Genomic DNA, 20949 nt, shown 5'->3' with positions numbered 1-20949 from the left:
CTGCTCTAGACCTTTATCTGATGGGTCAATAATTACCACATCTCTCCACTTCCACCTACTCACCCAACTAGACTGGCTTCTTCATCTTTCTGTCCTAAGTTTCCAGTTCTCTTCTTCTGATAGCACCTGATTAGACCATCTGATTATATATAAGAGCTCAGTTTGGAATTTTGGTCATCCACAAAAATCAGAATTTTATGTATGAAAAGAAACTGTGTAGACGCAGTAAAAATACTCATTTTTAGCCTTGTGATTTGGTTTGCTCCAGACGAAACTCATTTATAACTTCTTTCCATGTTCTGTTCATTTCCAAGCTAACAATGACATAAATAAAGGGATGAAAAAAGGAGGAAAACACTTACCTGGGCTATAAGTTGCTCCTGGGAAGCTTTTACTTCAGCTTGCAATTTCTGGATGCACTGAAAAGGAGAAAAGTTTAGAAACTAAGTATGTAACTCTTTCTTTTACATACTCAACGTATTACAGACATAAATGTGTATCAGTTTTCAAATCTCGTGAATGGCAGCATTATTTCAGCTACGTTTTGAAAACCATCATTGGAGAAATCATCCCCCCATTCCTATTTCTCTTCCATTCTATGAAAGAACCCAAAGAAAAAACACACAAATATATTAAGAACTAGGATATGCCTGAGTAAGATAATGTTAGCTTGATGTGCTACGGTTAATGCAAATGCCCCTATATCATATAAATATATATATATTTACAAATAAATAAATAAATAAATATATATATATATATATATATATATATATATATATATATATATATACCTTCACATGAAATCATATCCATATATTCCAAAAGCAAACCCTTTGGATTGAACAAGAGGTAAATTTACATAATGATATATATTTTAATGCTCAGATATTCAGAGATTAATCATTTCTTATAAAGTAATTGATTAAAAAACATATGCCAAATGTTATGAGCCTCTCGTTTTACTCCACAGAAAGAAACACTCCAACATTAACAACTAAGAGACATTTGTACAGTCAATACCATTTATAAAATAAATAGAATATTCAGCTAATGTTATTCAAAGGGTTACATATCAAACAAACTTTAAAACTACTACTAGCAAAATAAATTTTATCTCAATATTTGCCAGGGAATAAAATTACTTTTAGCAAATACAAATATTGTTATTTACCATTATGAACTTAAAAATACGACTTTTAATCCAGACTGAAATGGCTTTCCAGGATTGTCAATTCATATAAAATTAGGTAACTTTTAAAATAAAGATGACTTTGTTCTACAACATACCTGGTCTTTCACAAGAACCATTTTTTCATATGGTCCCCCACTGGCTTCCTTGTGGTCCACAGCCTCCAGTTTTTCCTCCAGCCGGGATACTTGTTCAAGCAGTTTTGATTTTGTTCCTTCAGAGACTGAAAGCTAAAGATATTTTCTTTATAAGAGTATGTAAGTACAGTGATATTTTAAAAGCTCCTTTTAAAAATTCAACTTACAAATAATTTATCTTCCACCAGTATCTACTAAATATGAAAATAGCTTCTGGAGCATTCCTCATAGATGATAAATTAGCATAGAGAAAGAAGGAAAAATTGATTTTATTTATTGTTTATAACTAAGATCTTTCTAAGCAAGAGATGAAATCGCATAGTTACAACGGAGAATATAGAAATACTAGAAATAGAGAAATTTTGAATGCAAAGACCTCAACACTCATCTTCACTGTGTTTCAAGATTGCACTTTATTTGTACAGCTGAATCTGAAACTTGTATTCTGGCTTATATATGGTCTTTGAAACTTAACTCTTGGTGGGCTACAGCAATCTAGAAAGAGTGGGAGTTCTGACTCCTTTGAATGTTCGCCATAGAAGCATCAGGGTGCATGGAACTGGGGTATATTCAGGAATTTCAAGTTAAAGTCTGATCAAAGGCAGATCTATGCTAAGCCACAACCAAAAAAATTCCTAGCAATGACTTTGTTTTTGTTTGACTGTTTGTTGATTCCTTTTGAGGAAAGTGGTAGTTTGATAGTCCTTAGTCTCTAATTCCCTTAGAGAGTGCCTGTACTAGCTTCTCCTTTCATTCTGACAGCTATTGTGCTTTTTCTCTATAGGTCAGCAACAGTCCTGAAAGACTCCCTGGAAAGGGACACACAATTCTGTATTCACTGCAACTCCCAGGGCATTCTCTGAAGCATGGATTATCTCTACATTTCTTTTTCATTACTCTGAATGTTATTGCAAGGCAAGTTGTCTCATTTTGAGAAAACTTAATTGTCCTTAAATTTTTAAAGACAATCTACCAAATATGGAAGCATGAAGAGGTCAGTCTGCCAAGGAAATAAGCACATTATCTATACTGGCCCATCAGATATACTGGCATATCATATATACTGTGAGCACAACATACATACTGGCACCGAACCATCCAGCCACACGCTCATTCACTGGACAAATGTTTGTTCAGTTGCCTCCTCCACAGCCATTGTGTTATATGCCGCAGATTAACAAAGTGCAAAATAAGGGTTAGAGGGAACACACATGTTACGAACTGCTGGCCATGCCTTTTGGCTCTTGGTGGCCTTGGAGACCTGCGGTGCTCCTCATGATCACCAACATGTGTTTAACTCCTGAGTGCATGGTGGTTTGGGATTGCAGTCTGGCTTCTCTGCCTACCCTTCTATTTTATTAGAGACACAGTATAGTGTAATGGTTAAAGCCAAGGAGTCTAGTGTCTTTATCCTTTGGGTTAAAAAAAATCTCAATTTTGTACAAAAATTAGCCAGGCTTGGTGGCAGGTGCCTGTAGTCCCAGCTACTAGGGAGGCTGAGGCAGGAGAATCACTTGAACCCAGGAGGCGGAGGTTGCAGTGAGCCAAAATCGCGCCATTGCACTCCAGCCTGGGGAACAGAGTGAGACTCTGTCTTAAAAAAAAAAATCTCAATTTTGCTGTTTACTATCTGTGTGATCTCAGCAAGTTACTTGACCTACCTGGGCTTGAGTTTTTTAATCTGTAAATAGCGATGGGGATGAAAAGAATACTACTTATCTCAACAGTTGGTTTTGAGGATTACATGAGTTTAAACAACAGAGACACTTAGAACAATGCCTGGAACATATCAAACATCTAGCAGCTCTTATTATAATTATTCTTCTACCTCTTCTAGCTCACAGTAGGTGTTCTTCTGGGTTTTATCTAAATATTTACCAAATTGTTTTTTTTTTTTTTTTTTTTTGAGATAGAGTCTCACCTTGTCACCCAAATTGGAATGCAATGGCGCAATCGCTGCTCACTGCAACCTTCGCCTCTGGGGCTTAAGGGGTCCTCCCACCTCAGTCTCCTGAGTAAGTGGGACTACAGGCTCACACCACCACGCCTGGCTAATTCTTTGTAATTTTGAGATGAGTTTTCACCATGTTGCCCAGGCTGGTCTTGACCTCCTGAGCTCAAGTGATCCGCCCGCCTCGGCCTCCCAAAGTGCTGGGGTTACAGGTGTAAGCCACTGTGTCCGGCCTATTTATCAAATTGTAAAACAAAAACAAAATATCTGAAGACATCATAATCTTTATGAGCTGCATACCCTGAATTCAAACTATATTTGATTTGTTCATTTCCTATAACCACTCTAATGTTCAGAGAAAACTCCTCTCTATGTCTGGAATTATTTTTTTCTCAAATATAATCTCTCTCAGTTGGGCCCATTTTATTCCCATATCCTGTTTGTTATGTGATCCATCGTTACCATTTTATTGTCTTTCTTTTAAATCTACCTTCTATTGTTTGAAAGCCTTTATTCATTCACTCAAAAGACATCATTTATTCACTCATTTGTTAAAGAAATAAGTTGGACATTTATTATATGTAAGAATTTGTAGATTAAAAAATGAAAACAATATTGTTCACAGCCTCAAAAAACTCATACTTTAGCCAGAAAGTCAGATCATTTAAAAATAGCTATTATATAATGCAAAACTATATAGGTGAATAAATAATATTAATAATAGTTAACATTTCTTGGGCACTTACTACATGTCAGACAGTCTGCAGAGCCTTTTGTTTTCAAATTTATTTTAGTATCTCAATTTATCTTCAAAACATCCTGAAGGTTCATTCTATTATAGCTCCCATTTTGCAGATAAAGAAGTTGAGTTTCAACAAAATTATATGACTTATCAAAGGATACAGCAAGTAAGTTCTGGAGTTCAAGTTTTCAGTAGTGGACATCAGGTTTGACTCCCTACACCCAAATTTGACCCCAGCTCCAAAGTAGGCCCTGGTCATCATGACAATTCTATCCTCTTTGCTGTTGATTGGTTCAGGAATCAAAGCATAAACTAATCAGAGCCTGGCTTTCCTGTAGCAACAGTTATCGTATAAGGAGATGTGACCTAATTTGGGTTACTCACACTGCACAGAATTGGAGAGTGATTTGGAGAGGCACCCTCTGTCACCGACCAGACGCGAATGCTACTACAGCTATCCCACAGACATCAGGAAATCAGGCATACTCAGAAAGGAAGAGTAAACAATAGAAAAAACTTAAGTTCTTGATAACATTATTAAAGTGCTTTATTAACCAATCTTGAAGCAAACCCTACCTTACAACTTGCACTTAGTGAGCCAATAAATTCCTTTATTGTTTAAGGAGTTTTCTATTACCTGTTGCCAAAAGTATTCTACGGATATGCTGTTTGGTTCTAAGATTCCATGCTCTTGACCACAAGTAAGAAAAGTTTATGAAAAACAGCAGAAACTAACATATATTTGGTAGATATAGTATACTAGGCATTCTGCTGGGTACTACATATATAAATGTTACCTTACATCATTGCTCAAAACCCTATCAGCAATTTTCTTTATATTTTTTGTTATCTTCATTGTAAAGATTGAGAAACTAAATGCTTTAATGCTTTAGTGGTGAATTAACTTGTGTAAGATTCCAAAGCTAAAAAGAAGAGGTTAGATTTGGGCCCTCATTTGTCTGCCTCCATTCCTGATTTTAGATCATATCCAAATCCTAACTCAGGCTGCCTGTCACAATGAGGCCTGTGACGTTTTTTTCTTACCATGTGGACTTCAGCAATATTTCTCAGGGTCTTAACTTATATACTTAAAGGAAACTTTTTTCTAATACCTTAGAATTCTCTCTAACCCACCATCTTGCTTCCTTTTATATAGACACTAACCCCTTATTTCCTCTCCTTTTGTAACAAGTTTCTTACTGAATATCTCTTTGACTCAGATATATTTAACTCATGTTCAGCTTAATTCTAAGAAATGTTGACTTAGAATCAGGATATCTATGTTTTAGTCTTAATTCCACAACTCACTGACTCTATAACCTTGGTGCCTATGATAGGATTTTAAAAATAATTTCAACTTTTTTTTTAGATTCAGAAAGTATATGTACATATTTGTTACATGGGTATATTGCATGATGCTGAGGTTTGGGGTATGAATGGTTCCATCACCCAGGTAGTGAGCATAGTACCCAATAGGTAGCCACCCAATCTATGCTGTATTTTGTTATAGTAGCTTGAAATGACTAAGACATCTATTTTCAAGTTTGGTGATTGTTTTATCTGCCAGCTTATATCTGCTATTGAACCCTTCTAGTGAATTTTTTTCTTTTAGCCATTGTGCTTTTCAACTCCACAATTTGTATTCTTATTCTCCTTCTCCTCCTCCTCCTCCTCCTTCTTCTTCTTCTTCCTCTTCTCCTCCTCCTTCTTCTTCTTCTTCCTCTTCTCCTCCTCCTCTTTCTTGTCTTTCTCCTTCTCCTTTTCCTTCTCCTCCTTTTCTGCTTCTGCCTCTTTTTTGAGATAGGGTCTGGCTCTGTCACCCAAGCTGGAGTGCAACAGCACAATCTCAGCTTCTTGCAACCTCTATCTACTGGGCTCGAGCCATCCTCCCATCTCACCTTCCTGGGTAGCTGAGACTACAGCTGCACACCACCACATCCAGCTAATTTTTATACATATATATATATATATATATATGAGATGGTGATATGGTTTGGTTGTGTCCCCACCCAAATCTCATCTTAAATTTTAGTTCCTATAATCCACATGTCATTGGAGGCACCCTGTGGGAGGTAATTGAATCATGGGATGGTTACCCCTACACTGCTGTTTTCATGATAGTGAGTGAGTTCTCACAAGATCTGATGGTTTTATAAGGGACTTTCTCCCCTTTTGCTTGGCACATCTCTTTGCTGCTGCCATATGAAGAAGGACATGTTTGCTTCCCCTTCCACAATAATTGTAAGTTTCCTGAGGCCTCGTAGTCATGTTGAACTGTAAGTCAATGAAACCTCTTTCCTTTATAAATTACCCAGTCTCAGGTATGTCTTTATTAGCAGTGTGAGAATGGACTAATACAGACAGAATCTCACTTTTTTGCCCAGGCTTGTCTCAAATTCCTGAGCTCAAGCAATCCACCAAACTTGGCCTCCCAAAGTGCTGGGATTACAGGCATAAGCCACCACACCCAGCACTACTTGGTTCCTTCTTATAATCTCTGTCTCCTTACGTATATTCCCAACTTGCTCATACATCATTCTCCTGATTTTCCTTACTACTTTGCACATGGTTTCTTTCACCTCTTTGAACATATTCATTTGTCCAGTAAGTCTGGAATTTGCTCTCTGGGCTTCCTGAAGAATGGTTTCTGTCAGTGTCTTCTTTTTCTTATGAATGGGCCATACTTTACATTGTAAGATTTATAATATTTTGCTGAGAATTTAACATTGTATATAATTTCATAATTCTAGAAATCAGATTCTCCTCCTACCCCAAGGTTTGTTGTTGCTGCTTGTTGAAGACTGCAATCATCCATTTGTTTAATGACTTTTTCAACTAATGTTGCAAAGACTATATTCCTTATCATGTATGGTTACTGAAGTCTCTATTCTAATATTTCTGCGGCCAGTGACCTGACAGGAATTTCCTTGTATTCCAGTATCTTTCCTCATCAAGCATTTCTCTGGAAGCTGAAAGTGTCCTGCTACACTCCAGAGTTCTGAAATGATTGATTCTGACAGTTCTTGCCAGTTCAGTAGTTATTTTTGTGACAGGACCAGTTCCTAGAACTTCTTATTTTGTCATCTTCTGTGATGTTCAAATCATTTTATTTTAAGTGTTACTTAAATATAATTCCAAAATATATCAGTACCCTTTCTTGACTGCAACAATATGGTACAATAGATATAGTTTATCTTTCTTTGGCTTTTAATATATTGCAATAACTTTATAGTGTTCTTTTATTGGACATTGGAGTAAATATTGAAAGTTGAATTTTCTGAGTAGATTTGCAGAGCTTCAAATTTATAATATGACAATTGTTATTTTGCTGTACACAATTTTTCAGATGAATGTTGTCCATTCTCTTTAAATGATCTTCTCCTTCCAAACTTGTTAGGACCACAGGTGGAGGGGACAGAGTCCTGGTCTTCATAAGGTATCATATGTAGAATATCAGCTTTCCAACATCATGTAAACTATATATTTCAGCAAAGGTGGCTAATTACAATATATAGAAATTGGTCATTTAAAGAATGGATGCATTTCTACTTTCTTTTTTGTAAGCAAATATGTGAAACTAAATTAGCCTGAGCTTTCTTTTTCTATGCTGTAAAAACAAGCAGTTTTTATTAATAAATAAACATTTAAAAAGCAATAAAAAGGAAGCTATGCCCAAGTTTCTCAGAGCTTAAAAATTCAGCTCTGATATCTTGCAGTTGTTAACTTGAATCTCCTCTTATTTATGTTGATGCCTTGTTTGCTATCCCATAATTAAATGTGAATTTAGGCAGAATGCCTAATATGTTTTCACTTCTATCTGGGAGCTAAAAAAGTGGATGTTATGGAAGTAGAGAGTAGAATGGTAGTTACCAGAGGCTGGGAAGAAAAAGGAAGAGGAGAGGATAATGAGAAGTTGGTTAACGGTACAAAAATAGTTAGATAGGAGACATAAGTTCTAGTACTCATTAGTACAGTAAGAAAATTATGGTTAACAATAATTTATTGTGTATCAATATAACTAGAAGAAAAATATTAATGTTCCAATACAAAAAAAAAGATAATGTTTGAGTGTTGGATGTCCCGATTACCCTGATTTGATCATTACACATTGTATACATATATCAAAATATTATATGTACCCAAAATATGTACAACTATGATATATCAGTACAAAACATATCCCAAAATGGCCTCCAAGCCCCAAAATACAGGATGGTACAGGCATAAGATAGATATTTCCATTCCAGAAGGGAGAAAAATGAAAGAAGGAAGGGGTGATGAGTCCCACATACATCCAAAACCTATCACGGCAAATTCCACTAGACTTTAATGCTCAAGAATAATCTAGAATAATCCTTTTTGGTTTGATACTCTGCCCTCCAGGACCACTGGAGTGGAAATGTCACCCCCACAGCTTGGCAGAGATCCATCCATGCTGTGGCTAGGTTGAGCAGGGCTTGTGCCCACCCAGCCCTACTGCATGGGGGTTATGCCCAAAGGCTCTGCAGAATGGTGATCTCTCCCCCAGGGTTCTGTCAGAGAGAAGCTAAACCCCAAGGGCTCTACCACACGAGGATCTTGGTTTCAAATTTCTTCCAGGTAGGGTTGTGCTCTCATGGCTCCAGGTGACCTCACCATCATGGCTTTAGTTGGAGGATATTTGGCCTGTTGAAGCTGAGATGATGTCCCTGATAATCTCTGAACTGTCTTTGGGGCCATTTCCCCCATCTTCTAGAACAGCACAAGGCTATTGAATAGCTTTATCATCCTGTCCTGTAGCCTCTAAGAAGTCTGAGAAACTTTCTTCATTTTCCCCCACCTTCATCTCCTTCAGTTCAGACTGGCAGTGTTCTTGCTGGAGTACTGATTAGGTCCGTGTTTCACACCCATACCAATCTCCTTAACAAACAGTTGCTTGGCCACACCCTTGGTATTCTCAACACTTTGCTTAGAAACATCTTCAGCTAAATATCCACTTTTATCACTCACAAATTCTATCTTCTGCAAAACACTAGAATGCAAAGATAATTTAGCCAGGTTCTTTGCCACATTACAACAAGGATTGCTTTCCTCTGGATTCCAATGACATGTTCCTCTTTTCCATCTAAAACCTCATCAAAATGGCCTTTACTGTTCATATTTCCATCAATATTCTGCTCATGATTATTTATGTCTTCTCGAATAAGAGGGAGGATTTCTCTCCAGTTCTCCTATTTTGGTCAGGCCTCACCAGATTGTCTTCAGCAGCCCCTTCATGGAAATATCTACTTTTTAAAGCCTGAAGCTCAAAACTCATTTTAAGGTATATGTTACAGTAGCATCCCACTTCTTGTTACCAATTTATTTTAGTCAGTTCAGACTTCTATAACAAATATCACAGGCTTGGTGACTTAAAGAAAAAATATTTCTTACAATTCTGGAGTCTCAGAAGTCCAAGGCCAAAGTGACAAAAAATTCAGTGTCTTGTGAGGCCCCTCTTTCTATTTTACAGACAGCCCCTTTTTTTTGCTGTATCCTCACATGATGAAGAAAAGTAGAGCTCTTATCTCCTTCTCTTCTTATAAGGGCAATAATTCCATCATGAGGATTCCAACCTCACGACCTTAATTATTTCCTAAATGTACCCCTTCCAAATACCATCACATTAAAAATTAGGAATTCAACATATGAATTGGAGGAGGTGTAAATATTCAGTCCATAGCAATACAGCAATTGGAATTACCCAGTCTGAACAGCAGAAAGAAAAAACAATGAAGAGAAATAAACAGAACCTAAGAGGCCTACAGGACACTATTAAGCATACTAACATATACATTCTAGGAGCAAATAACTGCAAAAGATACAGAATCAAAATGGAACACTAGAAAATATCAATCAAACACAAAAGAAGATAGTATTGGAGGAATTGAGGAATAAAAAGGACATAAAATATATAGAAAATGAAAAGCAATGTGGCAGAAGTATGTTCTTTATTATTAGTAATATTTTAATTTAAGTGACTTTGACTCCCAATTAAAGACAGAAACTAGCAGAATAAATTTTAAAGTGTGATCCAATTATATGCTGATTATAAGAAACTCACTTTAGACTCAAAGAAACAAATAGGTTGGAAGTAAAAGAATGAAAAAAGATGTTGCATGTGAATTGTAGCCCAAAAACAGCCAATGTGACTATATTCATAGTCACATAGTCACATAGATGTTGTCAAAAATTTTTATAAAAGTAAAAGGAATACATTGCATATTGATAAAAGTGGCAATTTGTCAAGGAGATATAAAACTATACGCATAAATGCACCAAACAATGGAGTCCCAAAATACATGAAGCAACTATTGATAGAATTTACAGAAGAAGTAGACACTTTTGTGAGAATAGTTGGAGACTTCAATAGTCCCCCCCTTTTTTTTTTTTTTTTTTTTCTGAGGTGAAGTCTCACTCTGTTACCCAGGCTGGAGTGAAGTGGTGTGATCTTGGCTCACTATAACCTCCACCTCCCAGGTTCAAGAGGTTCTCCTGCCTCAGCCTTCCAAGTAGCTGGGATTACAGGCATGCATTATGATGCCCAGCAAATTTTTGTATTTTTAGAATTGATGAGGTTTTGCCATGTTGGCCAGGTTGGTCTCAAACTCCTCACCTCAAGTGATCTGCCTGTCTTGACCTCTCAAAGTGCAATATTCCAGTTTCATAATGGATATAATATCTACACAGAAAAACAAGAAGAAAATAGACTTGAATTACACTATAAATCAACTAGACATAACAGACGTAGTATGACAGATAGAACAATCCACAAAACAACAGAAAAATATACATTTTTTCAAGTGCACATGAAGCATTCTCCAGGATAGGCTATAATTTGGTTCATAAAAATAATTCTCAATAAATTTAGAAGGAATAAAATCATTTAAAGTATCTTCTCTCACAACAATAGAGAATAAAGCTAAAAATCAATAACAGAAGGAAAATTGAAAAATTTTCACGTACACAGAAATAACACACTCTTAAACAACCAGTGGGACAAAGAAAAAATCACAAGGCAAATTAAAAAATATTTAGAAACAAATGAAGACAAAACATAGCATACAAAAACTTATGGGACGAGGTGGCGGCAGCAGGAGGAGGAGGCCTGGGCTGGCAGGTGAGGAGGAGGTAGGTGCCATGTCACATGCAACTCCAGGCAGGGCAGCCCAGTGGCTGAGGGATGCAGCCAGACATTGGTGGGATGGGGGTTTTGCCAAGGTCTAGGCCTGGTGACCAGGTGGAGGCATCAGGGGAGCCTTTTGGGTACCATGGAGATGTGAGTTTGCCTGCAATATATTTCACTCTCTACACTTAAAGGACATTCTTTCCAAACTGCTGTGAATAAATTTGGAATGGTACTGCATATTTTTATCTAATGGAGAACTAGCTGAACTTTGAATAAGGATTGCTGCACTGGACAGCTTTAGAACATCCCTCACGATGTCATAAATCCGGAGCCAGAACCCCCATGGCCTGAAGCAGATTGGCTTAGACCAGATCTGGATGACCTCAGAGCCACCATCCAGCAGGTGTACATGTGGCACAGCATGACCAGGTCCAGATACATGGAGCTCCACACTCATGTTCATAACTAGTGTGCTAGTGTACACCAGTCAAACCAAGCATGAGGAGCCAGAGTTTCTACATCAAAAAAGGGGCAGACACCTGAAGGAGCTCAGTACATTGGCCTGGAATTATACAAACAACTTAAGTAATTTTTGAATAATTACTTGACAAGTCTTCTTAAGCATGGAGAAGATTTGATGGACAAGAGTGTACTGAAATTCTACACTCAACAATGGGAAGATTACTGATTTTCAAGCAAAGTGCTGAATGGAATTTGTGCCTACCTCAGTAGACACTGGGTTCACCGTGAATGTGACAAAGGACGAAAGGAATATGTGAAATCTATTCCCTTGCATTGGTGACTTGGAGAGACCATTTAGGCCACTGAATAAACAGGTAAGAAATTCTGTTTCAAAGCTGATCAAAAAGGAAGGAAATGGTGAAACCATCAATACAAAACTGTGAGTGGAGTTGTACAGTGTTACATGGAATTGGAGCTGAAGGAAGATGATGCATTTGCAAAGGGCCCTACATTAACAGTGTATAAAGAATCCTTTGAATCTCTCTCTTTTTTTTTTCTGTCACAGAGAGATTTTATGTCACAGAGAGTACTGAATTCTTGCAGCAGAACCCAGTTACTGAATATATGAATAAGGCAGAGGCTTGTGTGCTTCAGGAACAATGAAGAGTTCAGGTTTACCTTCATGAAGGCACACAAGATGAATTAGCAAGGAAATGTGAGAAAGTCCTCATTGAAAAACACTTGGAAATTTTCCACACAGAACTTCAGAATTTATTGGATGCTGACAAAAATGAAGATTTGGGACACATGTATAATCTTGTATCTAGAATCCAGAATGACCTAGGAGAATTGAAAAAACTGCTGGAGACACAGATTCATAATCAGGGTCTTTTAGCTATTGAAAAATGTGGAGAAGCTGCTTTAAATGACCCCAAAATGTATGTACAGAAGGTGCTTGACCTTCATAAAAAATGCATTGCCTTGGTAATGTCTGCATTTAACAATGACACTGGCTTTGTGGCTGCTCTTGACAAGGTTGTGGTTGCTTCATAAACAACAATGCGGTTACCAAGATGGCCTATTTATCCAGTAACTCCCATGAGTCATTGGCTCAATACTATGACTCGTTCTTGAAGAAAAGTTCCAAGAACACAGATGAGGCAGAACTAGAAGATACACTCAATCATATAATGGTTGTCTTCAAGTACATAGAGGACAAAGATGTGTTTCAGAAGTTCTATGCAAAAATGCTGGCCAAGAGGCTCATCTACCAGAACAGTGATGATGCAAATGATGATGCCAGTAACCATGTCAATTTTCAGCCACTGTGATGGCTGGCATAGAAAGCTGTGAATTGCCGATAACTACGTTCCAACTCTAAGGGAAGGCAGTGAGTGACAATGCTGAAGCCAGCATGTTCTCTAAGTTAAAGCAAGCTTGTGGTTTTGAGTATACCTCTAAACTTCAGTGGATGTTTCAAGACACTGGTGTGAGCAAAGATCTGAATGAGCAATTCAAAAATCACCTGACAAATTCAGAACCCCTAGACTGGGATTTCAGCATTCAGGTGCTGAGCTCTGGGTCCTGGCCCTTTAAGCAGTCTTGTATGTTTGCCTTCCCCTAGGGTTGGAATGTAGTTATCGGCAATTCACAGCTTTCTATGCCAGCTGTCACAGTGGCTGAAAATTGACATGGTTATATCAGTTGTCTAAAGGAGAATTGGTAACTAACTGCTTTACAAACAGATATACTTTGCAGGCATCCACATTCCAGACGGCAATCCTGCTTCAGTACAACACAGAAGATGCCTACACTGTACAGCAGCTGACTGATTGCACTCAAATTAAAATGGACATTTTGGCATAAGTCCTACAGATTTTATTAAAGTTGAAGTTATTGGTCTTGGAAGATGAAAATGTAAATGCTGATGAGGTGGAATTGAAGACAGATACCTTAATAAAATTACATCTTGGTTATAAAAATTAGAAATTAAGGGTTAACATCAATGTGCCCATGAAACTGAACAGAAGCAGGAACAAGAAAACACAAACAAAAATATTGAGGAAGACTGCAAACTACTGATTCAGATGGCCATCATGAGAATCATGAAGATGAGGAAGGTTTTGAAACACCAGCAGTTAGTTGATGAGGCCCTCACTCAGCTATCCTCCAGGTTCAAATCCCGGGTCCCTGATCAAGAAATGCATTGACATTCTAATTGAGAAAGAATATTTGGAGCAAGTTGATGGTGAAAAGCACACCTACAGTTACTTGGCTTAACCCTCCAGGAAGGGTCTGACTGTGTGTCCCACAGCAAATAGTTCATGTTGGAAAGAATGTAAACAACTCAAGTTTACAGCAGCCAGCCTGCCACCATTGTACCTCCCTTTTTAAAGCTGAGACCAAGACTCCCATCAGCTGGTCTCAGATTTACATTGGAACTGCTCAGGATAGATACATTTCATGTCTGTAAATATGGACACCAATGCCATTTACCCTAATTTAAGAACAGAGAAGACCGAACCTCCCACACTGAAGGCTGCATGCTACTGCATTTAAATCAAGACATGGGCTCTCCAATTAGCAGCTGTTGTATTGGCAGCACTTGTCATATTGGCAGCACTTTGAGAGCAAGTCTGAATGGACCCATGTGTAATCTGCTATGAAAACCATTTTTTTAGTGTGTTTCATTTTTAATGTGTGAAAATAAAGAAAATTAAAGGATTTCTAATTGAATGGTGCCTCACATCTCAATACTAACATTGAATGTAAATGGCCATATTGCTCCACTTAAAAGATACAGAACAACAGAATGGATAAGTATTCACCAACCATCTTCTGCCTTCAAGAGACTCTCCTAACACATAAGGACTCTCATAAACTTAAGGTAAAGGGGTGGAAAAAGGTATTTCATATGAATGGACACCAAAAATGAGCAGGAGTAGCTATTCTTATATGAGACAAAATGAACTTTAAAGCAACAGCAGTTAAAAAATACAAAGAGGGACATTATATGATGGTAAAAGGCCTTGTCCAACAGGAAAGTATCACAATCCTAAATATATATGCACCTAACACTGGAGCTCCCAAATTTGTAAAACAATTACTTATAGACCTAAGAAATGAGATAGACAGCAATACAATAGTAGTAGGGGACTTCAATACTCCACTGACAGCACTAGACAGGTCATCAAGACAGAAAGTCAACAACAACAACAACAACAAACAATGGATTTAAGCTATACCTTGGAACAAATAGACTTAACAGATACATATACAAAATTCCACCCAACGACCACAGAATACACATTCTATTCAACAGCTCATGGAACTTTCTCCAAGATAGACCATATAATAGGCCACAAAATGAGCCTTAATAAATTTAAGGAAATTGAAATCATATTAAGCACTCTCTCAGACCACAGTGGAATAAAACTGAAAATCAACTCCAAAAGAAACCTTCAAAATCATGCAAATACATGGAAATTAAATAATCTGATCCTGAGTGATCACTGGATCAAAAATGAAATCAAGATGCAAATTTAAACAATTCTTCAAAGTGAACAACAATAGTGACACAACCTATCAAAACCTCTGGGATGCTGGGTGCAGTGGCTCATGCCTGTAATCCCAGCACTTTGGGAGGCCGAGGAGGGTGGATCACAAGGTCAGGAGTTCGAGACCATCCTTGCCAAGATGGTGAAACATGGTCTTTACTAAAAATACAAAAATTAGCAGGTCATGGTGGCACGTGCCTGTAGTTCCAGCTACTCAGGAGGCTGAGGCAGAAGAATCACTTGAACCCAGGAGGCAGAGGTTGCAGTGAGCCAAGATCGTGCCACTGAACTCCAGCCTGGGTGACAGAGTGAAACTCCGTCTTAAAAAAAAAAAAAAAACCCCACCTCTAAGATACAGCAAAGGCGATGCTAGGAGGAAAGTTCATAGCCCTAAAACTCTGCATCAAAAAGACTGACAGAGCACAAACTGACAATCTATGGTCACACCTCAAGGAACTAGTGGAACAAGAACAAATTAAACCCAAACCCAGCAGAAGAAAGGAAATAACAAAGATCAGAGCAGAACTAAATGAAATTGAAACAAACAAAAAATACAAAAGAGAAATTAACCAAAAGCTGGTTCTTTGAAAAGATAAATAAAATTGATACATCGTTAGCAAGATTAACCAAGAAAAGAGAAAATCCAAAAAACCTCAATAAGAAATGAAATGGGAGATATTACAGCTGACACCGCAGAAATACAAAAGATCATTCAAGGCTATTGTGTACATCTTTACATACAGACTAAAAAACCTAGATGACATGGATGAATTCCTGGAAAGATACAACCTTCCTAGCTTAAATCAGGAAGAATTAGATACCCTAAACAGACCAATAACAAGCAGCAAGATTGAAATGGAAATTTTAAAATTACCAACAAAAAAAAAAGTCCAGGACCAGATGAATTTACAGCAGAATTTTACCAGACACTCAAAGAATTGGTACAAATCCTATTGACGCTATTCCAACAAGATAGAGAAAGAGGAAACCCTCCCTAAGTCATCCTATGATGCCAACATCACCCTAATACCAAAACCAGGAAAGGACATATCCAAAAAAGGAAACTACAGACCGATATCCCTGATGAACATAGATGCTAAAATCCTTAACAAAATACTAGTTAACCAAATCCAACACCATATCAAAAAGATAATCCACCATGATCAAGTGGATTTCATACCAGGGATGATTTAACATATGCAAATCAGTAAATGTGATGCACCACAAAAACAGAATTAAAAACAAAAATCACATGATTATCTCAATAAATGCATAAAAACCATTTGACAAAATCCATTTATTATTAAAACTCTCAGCAAAATCAGCATACAAGGGATACACCTCAATGTAATAAAAGATGACAAACCCACAGCCAACATAATACTAAATGGTGAAAAGTTGAAAGCATATTCTCTGAGAACTGGAACTAGATAAGGATGCCCATTCTCACCACTCCTCTTCAGCATAGTACTGGAAGTCCTAGCCAGGGCAATCAGACAAAAGAAAGAAATAAAGGGCATCTAAATCAGTAAAGAGGAGTCAAACTGTCACTGTTGGCTGATGACATGATTGTTTACCTTGAAAACCCTAAAGACACCTCCAGAAAGCTCCTACAATTGATAAAAGCATTCAGCAAAGCTCCTGGATACAAAATTAGTGTACACAAATCAGTAGCTCTTCTATACACCAACAGCAACCAAGTGGAGAATCAAATCACGAACTCAACCCCTTTTACCATAGCTGCAAAAAAAAAAAAAAAAGGAATACTTAGGAATATACATAACCAAGGAGGTGAAAGACGTGCACAAGGAAAACTACAAAACACTGCTGAAAGAAATCATAGACAACACAAAAAAATGGAAACACATCCCATGCTCATGGATGGGTAGAATCAATATTGTGAAAATGACCATATTGCCAAAAGCAATCTACAAATTCAACACAATTCCCATCAAAATACCACCATCATTCTTCACAGAATTAGAAAAAACAATTCTAAAGTTCATGTAGAACCAAGGAAGATCCTGCATATCCAAAATAAGACTAAACAAAAAGAACAAATTTGGAGGCTTCACATTACCTAATTTCAAACTATACTATAAGGCCATAGTCACCAAAATAGCATGGTACTAGTATAAAAATAGGCACATAGACCAATGGAACAGAATAGAGAGTCCAGAAAAAAACCCAAATGCTTACAGCCAACTGATCTTTGACAAAGCAAACAAAAACATAAAGTAGGGAAAGGACACCCTTTTTAACAAATGGTGCTGGGATAAATGGCTAGCCACATGTAGGAGAACGAAACTAGATCTTCATCTCTTACCTTATACAAAAATCAACTCAAGATGGATTAAGGATTTAAATCTTATGTGCTTTCCTGAAACTATAAAAATTTTAAAAGATAACATTGGAAAAACCCTTCTAGACATTAGCCTAGGCAAGGATTTCATGACCAAGAACCCAAAAGCAAATGCAATAAAAACAAAGATAAATAGCTGGGACTTAATTAAACTAAAGAGCTTTTGCATGGCAAAAGGAACAGTCAGCAAAGTAAGCAGGCAATCCACAGAGTGGGAGAAAATCTTCACAATCTATACATCTGACAAAGGACTAATATCTAGAATCTACAACAAACTCAAACAAATCAGCAAGAAAAAAACAAGCAGTCCCATCAAAAAGTGGGCTACAGACATGAATAGACGATTCTGAAAATGAGATATACAAATGGCCAACAAATATATGAAAAAATGCTCAACATCACTAATGATCAGGAAAATGCAAATCAAAACCACAATGCAACATCATCCTACTCCTGCAAGAATTGCCATAATCAAAAAATAAAAAAACAGTAGATGTTGGCATGGATGCAGTGATCAGGGAACACTTCTACACTGCTGGTGAGAATGTAAATTAGTACAACCACTATGGAAAACAGTGTGAAGATTCTTTAAATAACTAAAAGTAGAACTTTTTAGTTCTACCATTTGATCCAGAAACCCCACTACTGGATATTTACCCAGAGGAAAATAAGTCGTTGTACGAAAAAGATACTTGGACATGCTTGTTTATAGCAGCACAATTCACAATTGCAAAATTGTGGAACCAACCCAAATGCTCATCAATCAATGAGTGGATAAAGAAACTGTGATATATATATATATGTGTGTGCGTATACGTATATATGTGTGTGTGTATATATATGTGTGTGTATGTATATATAGATAAATATAGATATATATGATGGAATACTACTCAGCCATAAAAAGGAATGAATTAATGGCATTTGCAGCAACCTGGATGAGATTGGAGGCTATTATTCTAAGTGAATAACTCAGAAATGGAAAACCAAATGTCATATGTTCTCACTGATACATGGGAGCTAAGCTATGAGGATGCAAAAGTATAAGAATAATACAGTGGACTTTGGCGACTTAGGGGAAAGGGTGGGAGGGGGGTGAGGGATAAAAGATTACAAATAGGGTGCAGTGTATACTGCTCGAGTGATGGGTGCACCAAAATCTCAAAAATCACCACTAAAGAACTTACTCATGTAACCAAACACCATCTGTACCCCCAATAACCTATGGAAAAATAAAAACATTTTTTAAAAAAAGAACAAAGGAGATTGAGAAGAAAAAAGAAGTTACTACTTGAACATCAGTCTCAGGTTGATGACAACTTACTTATTTAATGCATGGGTTCTGCATTGGGTGATGGTATGTAATTTTACATAGATCCAGGCTAGGCGCAGTGGCTCATGCCTGTAATCCCAGCACTTTGGGAGGCTGAGGCGGGTGGATCACAGGGTCAGGAGATCGAGACTGTCCCGGCTAACACAGTGAAACCCCGTCTCTACTAAAAATACAATAAATTAGCCAGGCGTGGTGGCGGGCACCTGTAGTCCCAGCTACTTGGGAGGCTGAGGCAGAAGAATGGCATAAACCTGGGAGGCAGAGCTTGCAGTGAGCCGAGATCACACCACTGCACTCCAGCCTGGGTGACAGAGCAAGACTCCATCTCAAAAAAAAATTTTTACATAGATCCTCATATATGTTTATTTGTTTATATATGCACATATAAAATGTATCTATATATATAGAAAAAAACTTATGTGATGCAGAGGAAAGTTTATAGCTGAAAATGCCTACATTACAAAATGAAAAAGATGTCACATCAACAAGCCAACAAAAGGAAGGATATAATAAAGGTTAAAGCAGAGATGACAAGCTAGAGAATAAAAAAACAGAGATAATCAATAAAACCAAATATTGGTTCCTTGAAATAATCAACAAAGTTGATAAATATTTAGCTATGTTGCTAAGAAAAACAGACATAAGATGTAAATAACTAGAATCAGAAATGAAAGTGGAAACAATACTTCCAACTTTACAGAAATAAAAGGATTATAAGATACTAGTATGAACAAATGAGTGCCAACAAACTAGATAATTTAGATGAACTGAATAAATTCCTAGAAACCATGAATTACTAAAACTGACTCAAGAAGAAATAGAAAATGTCAATTGACCTACAACAATTAAAGAGATTGAATCCATTTTAAAAAAAAGAAAAGAAAAGAAAAGAAACAAAACTCCCAACAAAGAAAAGCCCAGAGCCAGTTGGTTTCACTGGTATATTACACATTTCAAAAAGGATTAACACTGACACTAATATTACTCAAGCCCCTCCAAAATACAGAAGATAAGGAAATTCTTCCTAATATGTTACCCTAATACTAAAGTCAGACAAAATAGTACAGGAAAACTATAGCCTAATATCCTTTATGAATATAGATACAGAAATCCTCAACACAATACTAGCAAACTGGATCCAACAGCACAGTAAAAATATTACACTCCATGACCAAGTGGGATTAATCTCAGATGTACAAGAGTGGTTCAATATCTAAAAATGGATTGAGGCAATAGATCACATTGATAGAATAGAGGAAAAATACTACATGGTCAATTCAGATGCAAAAAAATTGACAAAATCCAACACTCTTCCATGATAAAAATATTCATCAAAGTAGGAAAAGAAAAGGAAACTTCCTCAACATGATAAAAGACATTTATGAACATTCCACAGCTAGCATTGTACTCAATGGTGGAAGACAGAAAGCTTTTCTGGTAAGATCAGGAACAAGACAAGGATGTCTACTTTCACCACTGTTACTCAACCTTGTACTGAAAGTCCTAGCTAGAGCTATGATATGAACAAATAAGACATCCACATTGGAAACAAAGAAGTTCACCTATCTGTATTTGAAAATGACATAATTCTATTTTAAGAAAAATTCCAAACAACACACACACACACACACACAAGCTAATAAATGAATTTGGTAAAGTTGCAGAGTATAAGATTTTATTAGTCTGTTTTCCTGCTGCTAATAAAGACATACCTGAGACTGGATAATTTGTAAAAAAAAAAAAAGGAGGTTTCATGTACTCACAGTTCCACGTGGCTGGAGAGGCCTCATAATCATGGCAGAAGATGAAGAAAGAGCAAAGGAATGTCTTACATGGCAGCTGGCAAAAAGAGAGCTTGTGCAAGAGAACTCTTATTTATAAAGCCATCAGATCTCTTGTGACTTATTCTCTATCACAAGAACAGTATGGGGGAATGGCCCTTATGCTTCAATTATCTTCCACTGGCTTCCTCCCACAACATGTGGGACTTACAGGAGTTACAATTCAAGATGAGATTTGGGTGGGGACACAGTCAAACCATATCATTCCACCCCTGGATCTTCCCA

At 37.1% G+C, this 20949-nt stretch overlaps 1 protein-coding gene and 1 pseudogene across 12 annotated transcripts in view; one reads left to right on the top strand and one right to left on the bottom strand.

The window, feature by feature from the left end:
- The window catches only part of CCDC192 (coiled-coil domain containing 192), a 239292-nt gene that overhangs the window by 142983 nt on the left and 75360 nt on the right, over positions 1-20949 (bottom strand). For all 12 annotated transcript variants that reach the window (XR_948757.4, XM_017009806.3, XM_017009807.2 and 9 more), the window contains 2 exons: positions 1291-1422; positions 363-419 (listed from right to left, as the gene is read on the bottom strand). Coding sequence is in view for 11 of the 12 variants with exons in the window: in XM_017009806.3 (XP_016865295.1) it covers positions 363-419; positions 1291-1422 (189 nt within the window). In the remaining variant the exon portion in view is untranslated. The remainder of the gene's footprint in view (positions 1-362; positions 420-1290; positions 1423-20949) is intronic.
- Positions 11198-14360, top strand: CUL1P1 (cullin 1 pseudogene 1; annotated as a pseudogene).

Source organism: Homo sapiens, chromosome 5 (assembly GCF_000001405.40).
Source record: "Homo sapiens chromosome 5, GRCh38.p14 Primary Assembly".
Classification (NCBI taxonomy): domain Eukaryota; kingdom Metazoa; phylum Chordata; class Mammalia; order Primates; family Hominidae; genus Homo; species Homo sapiens.
The sequence above is the reverse complement of the archived record's forward strand: the minus strand, read 5'-3'. Positions and strand labels throughout refer to the sequence as shown.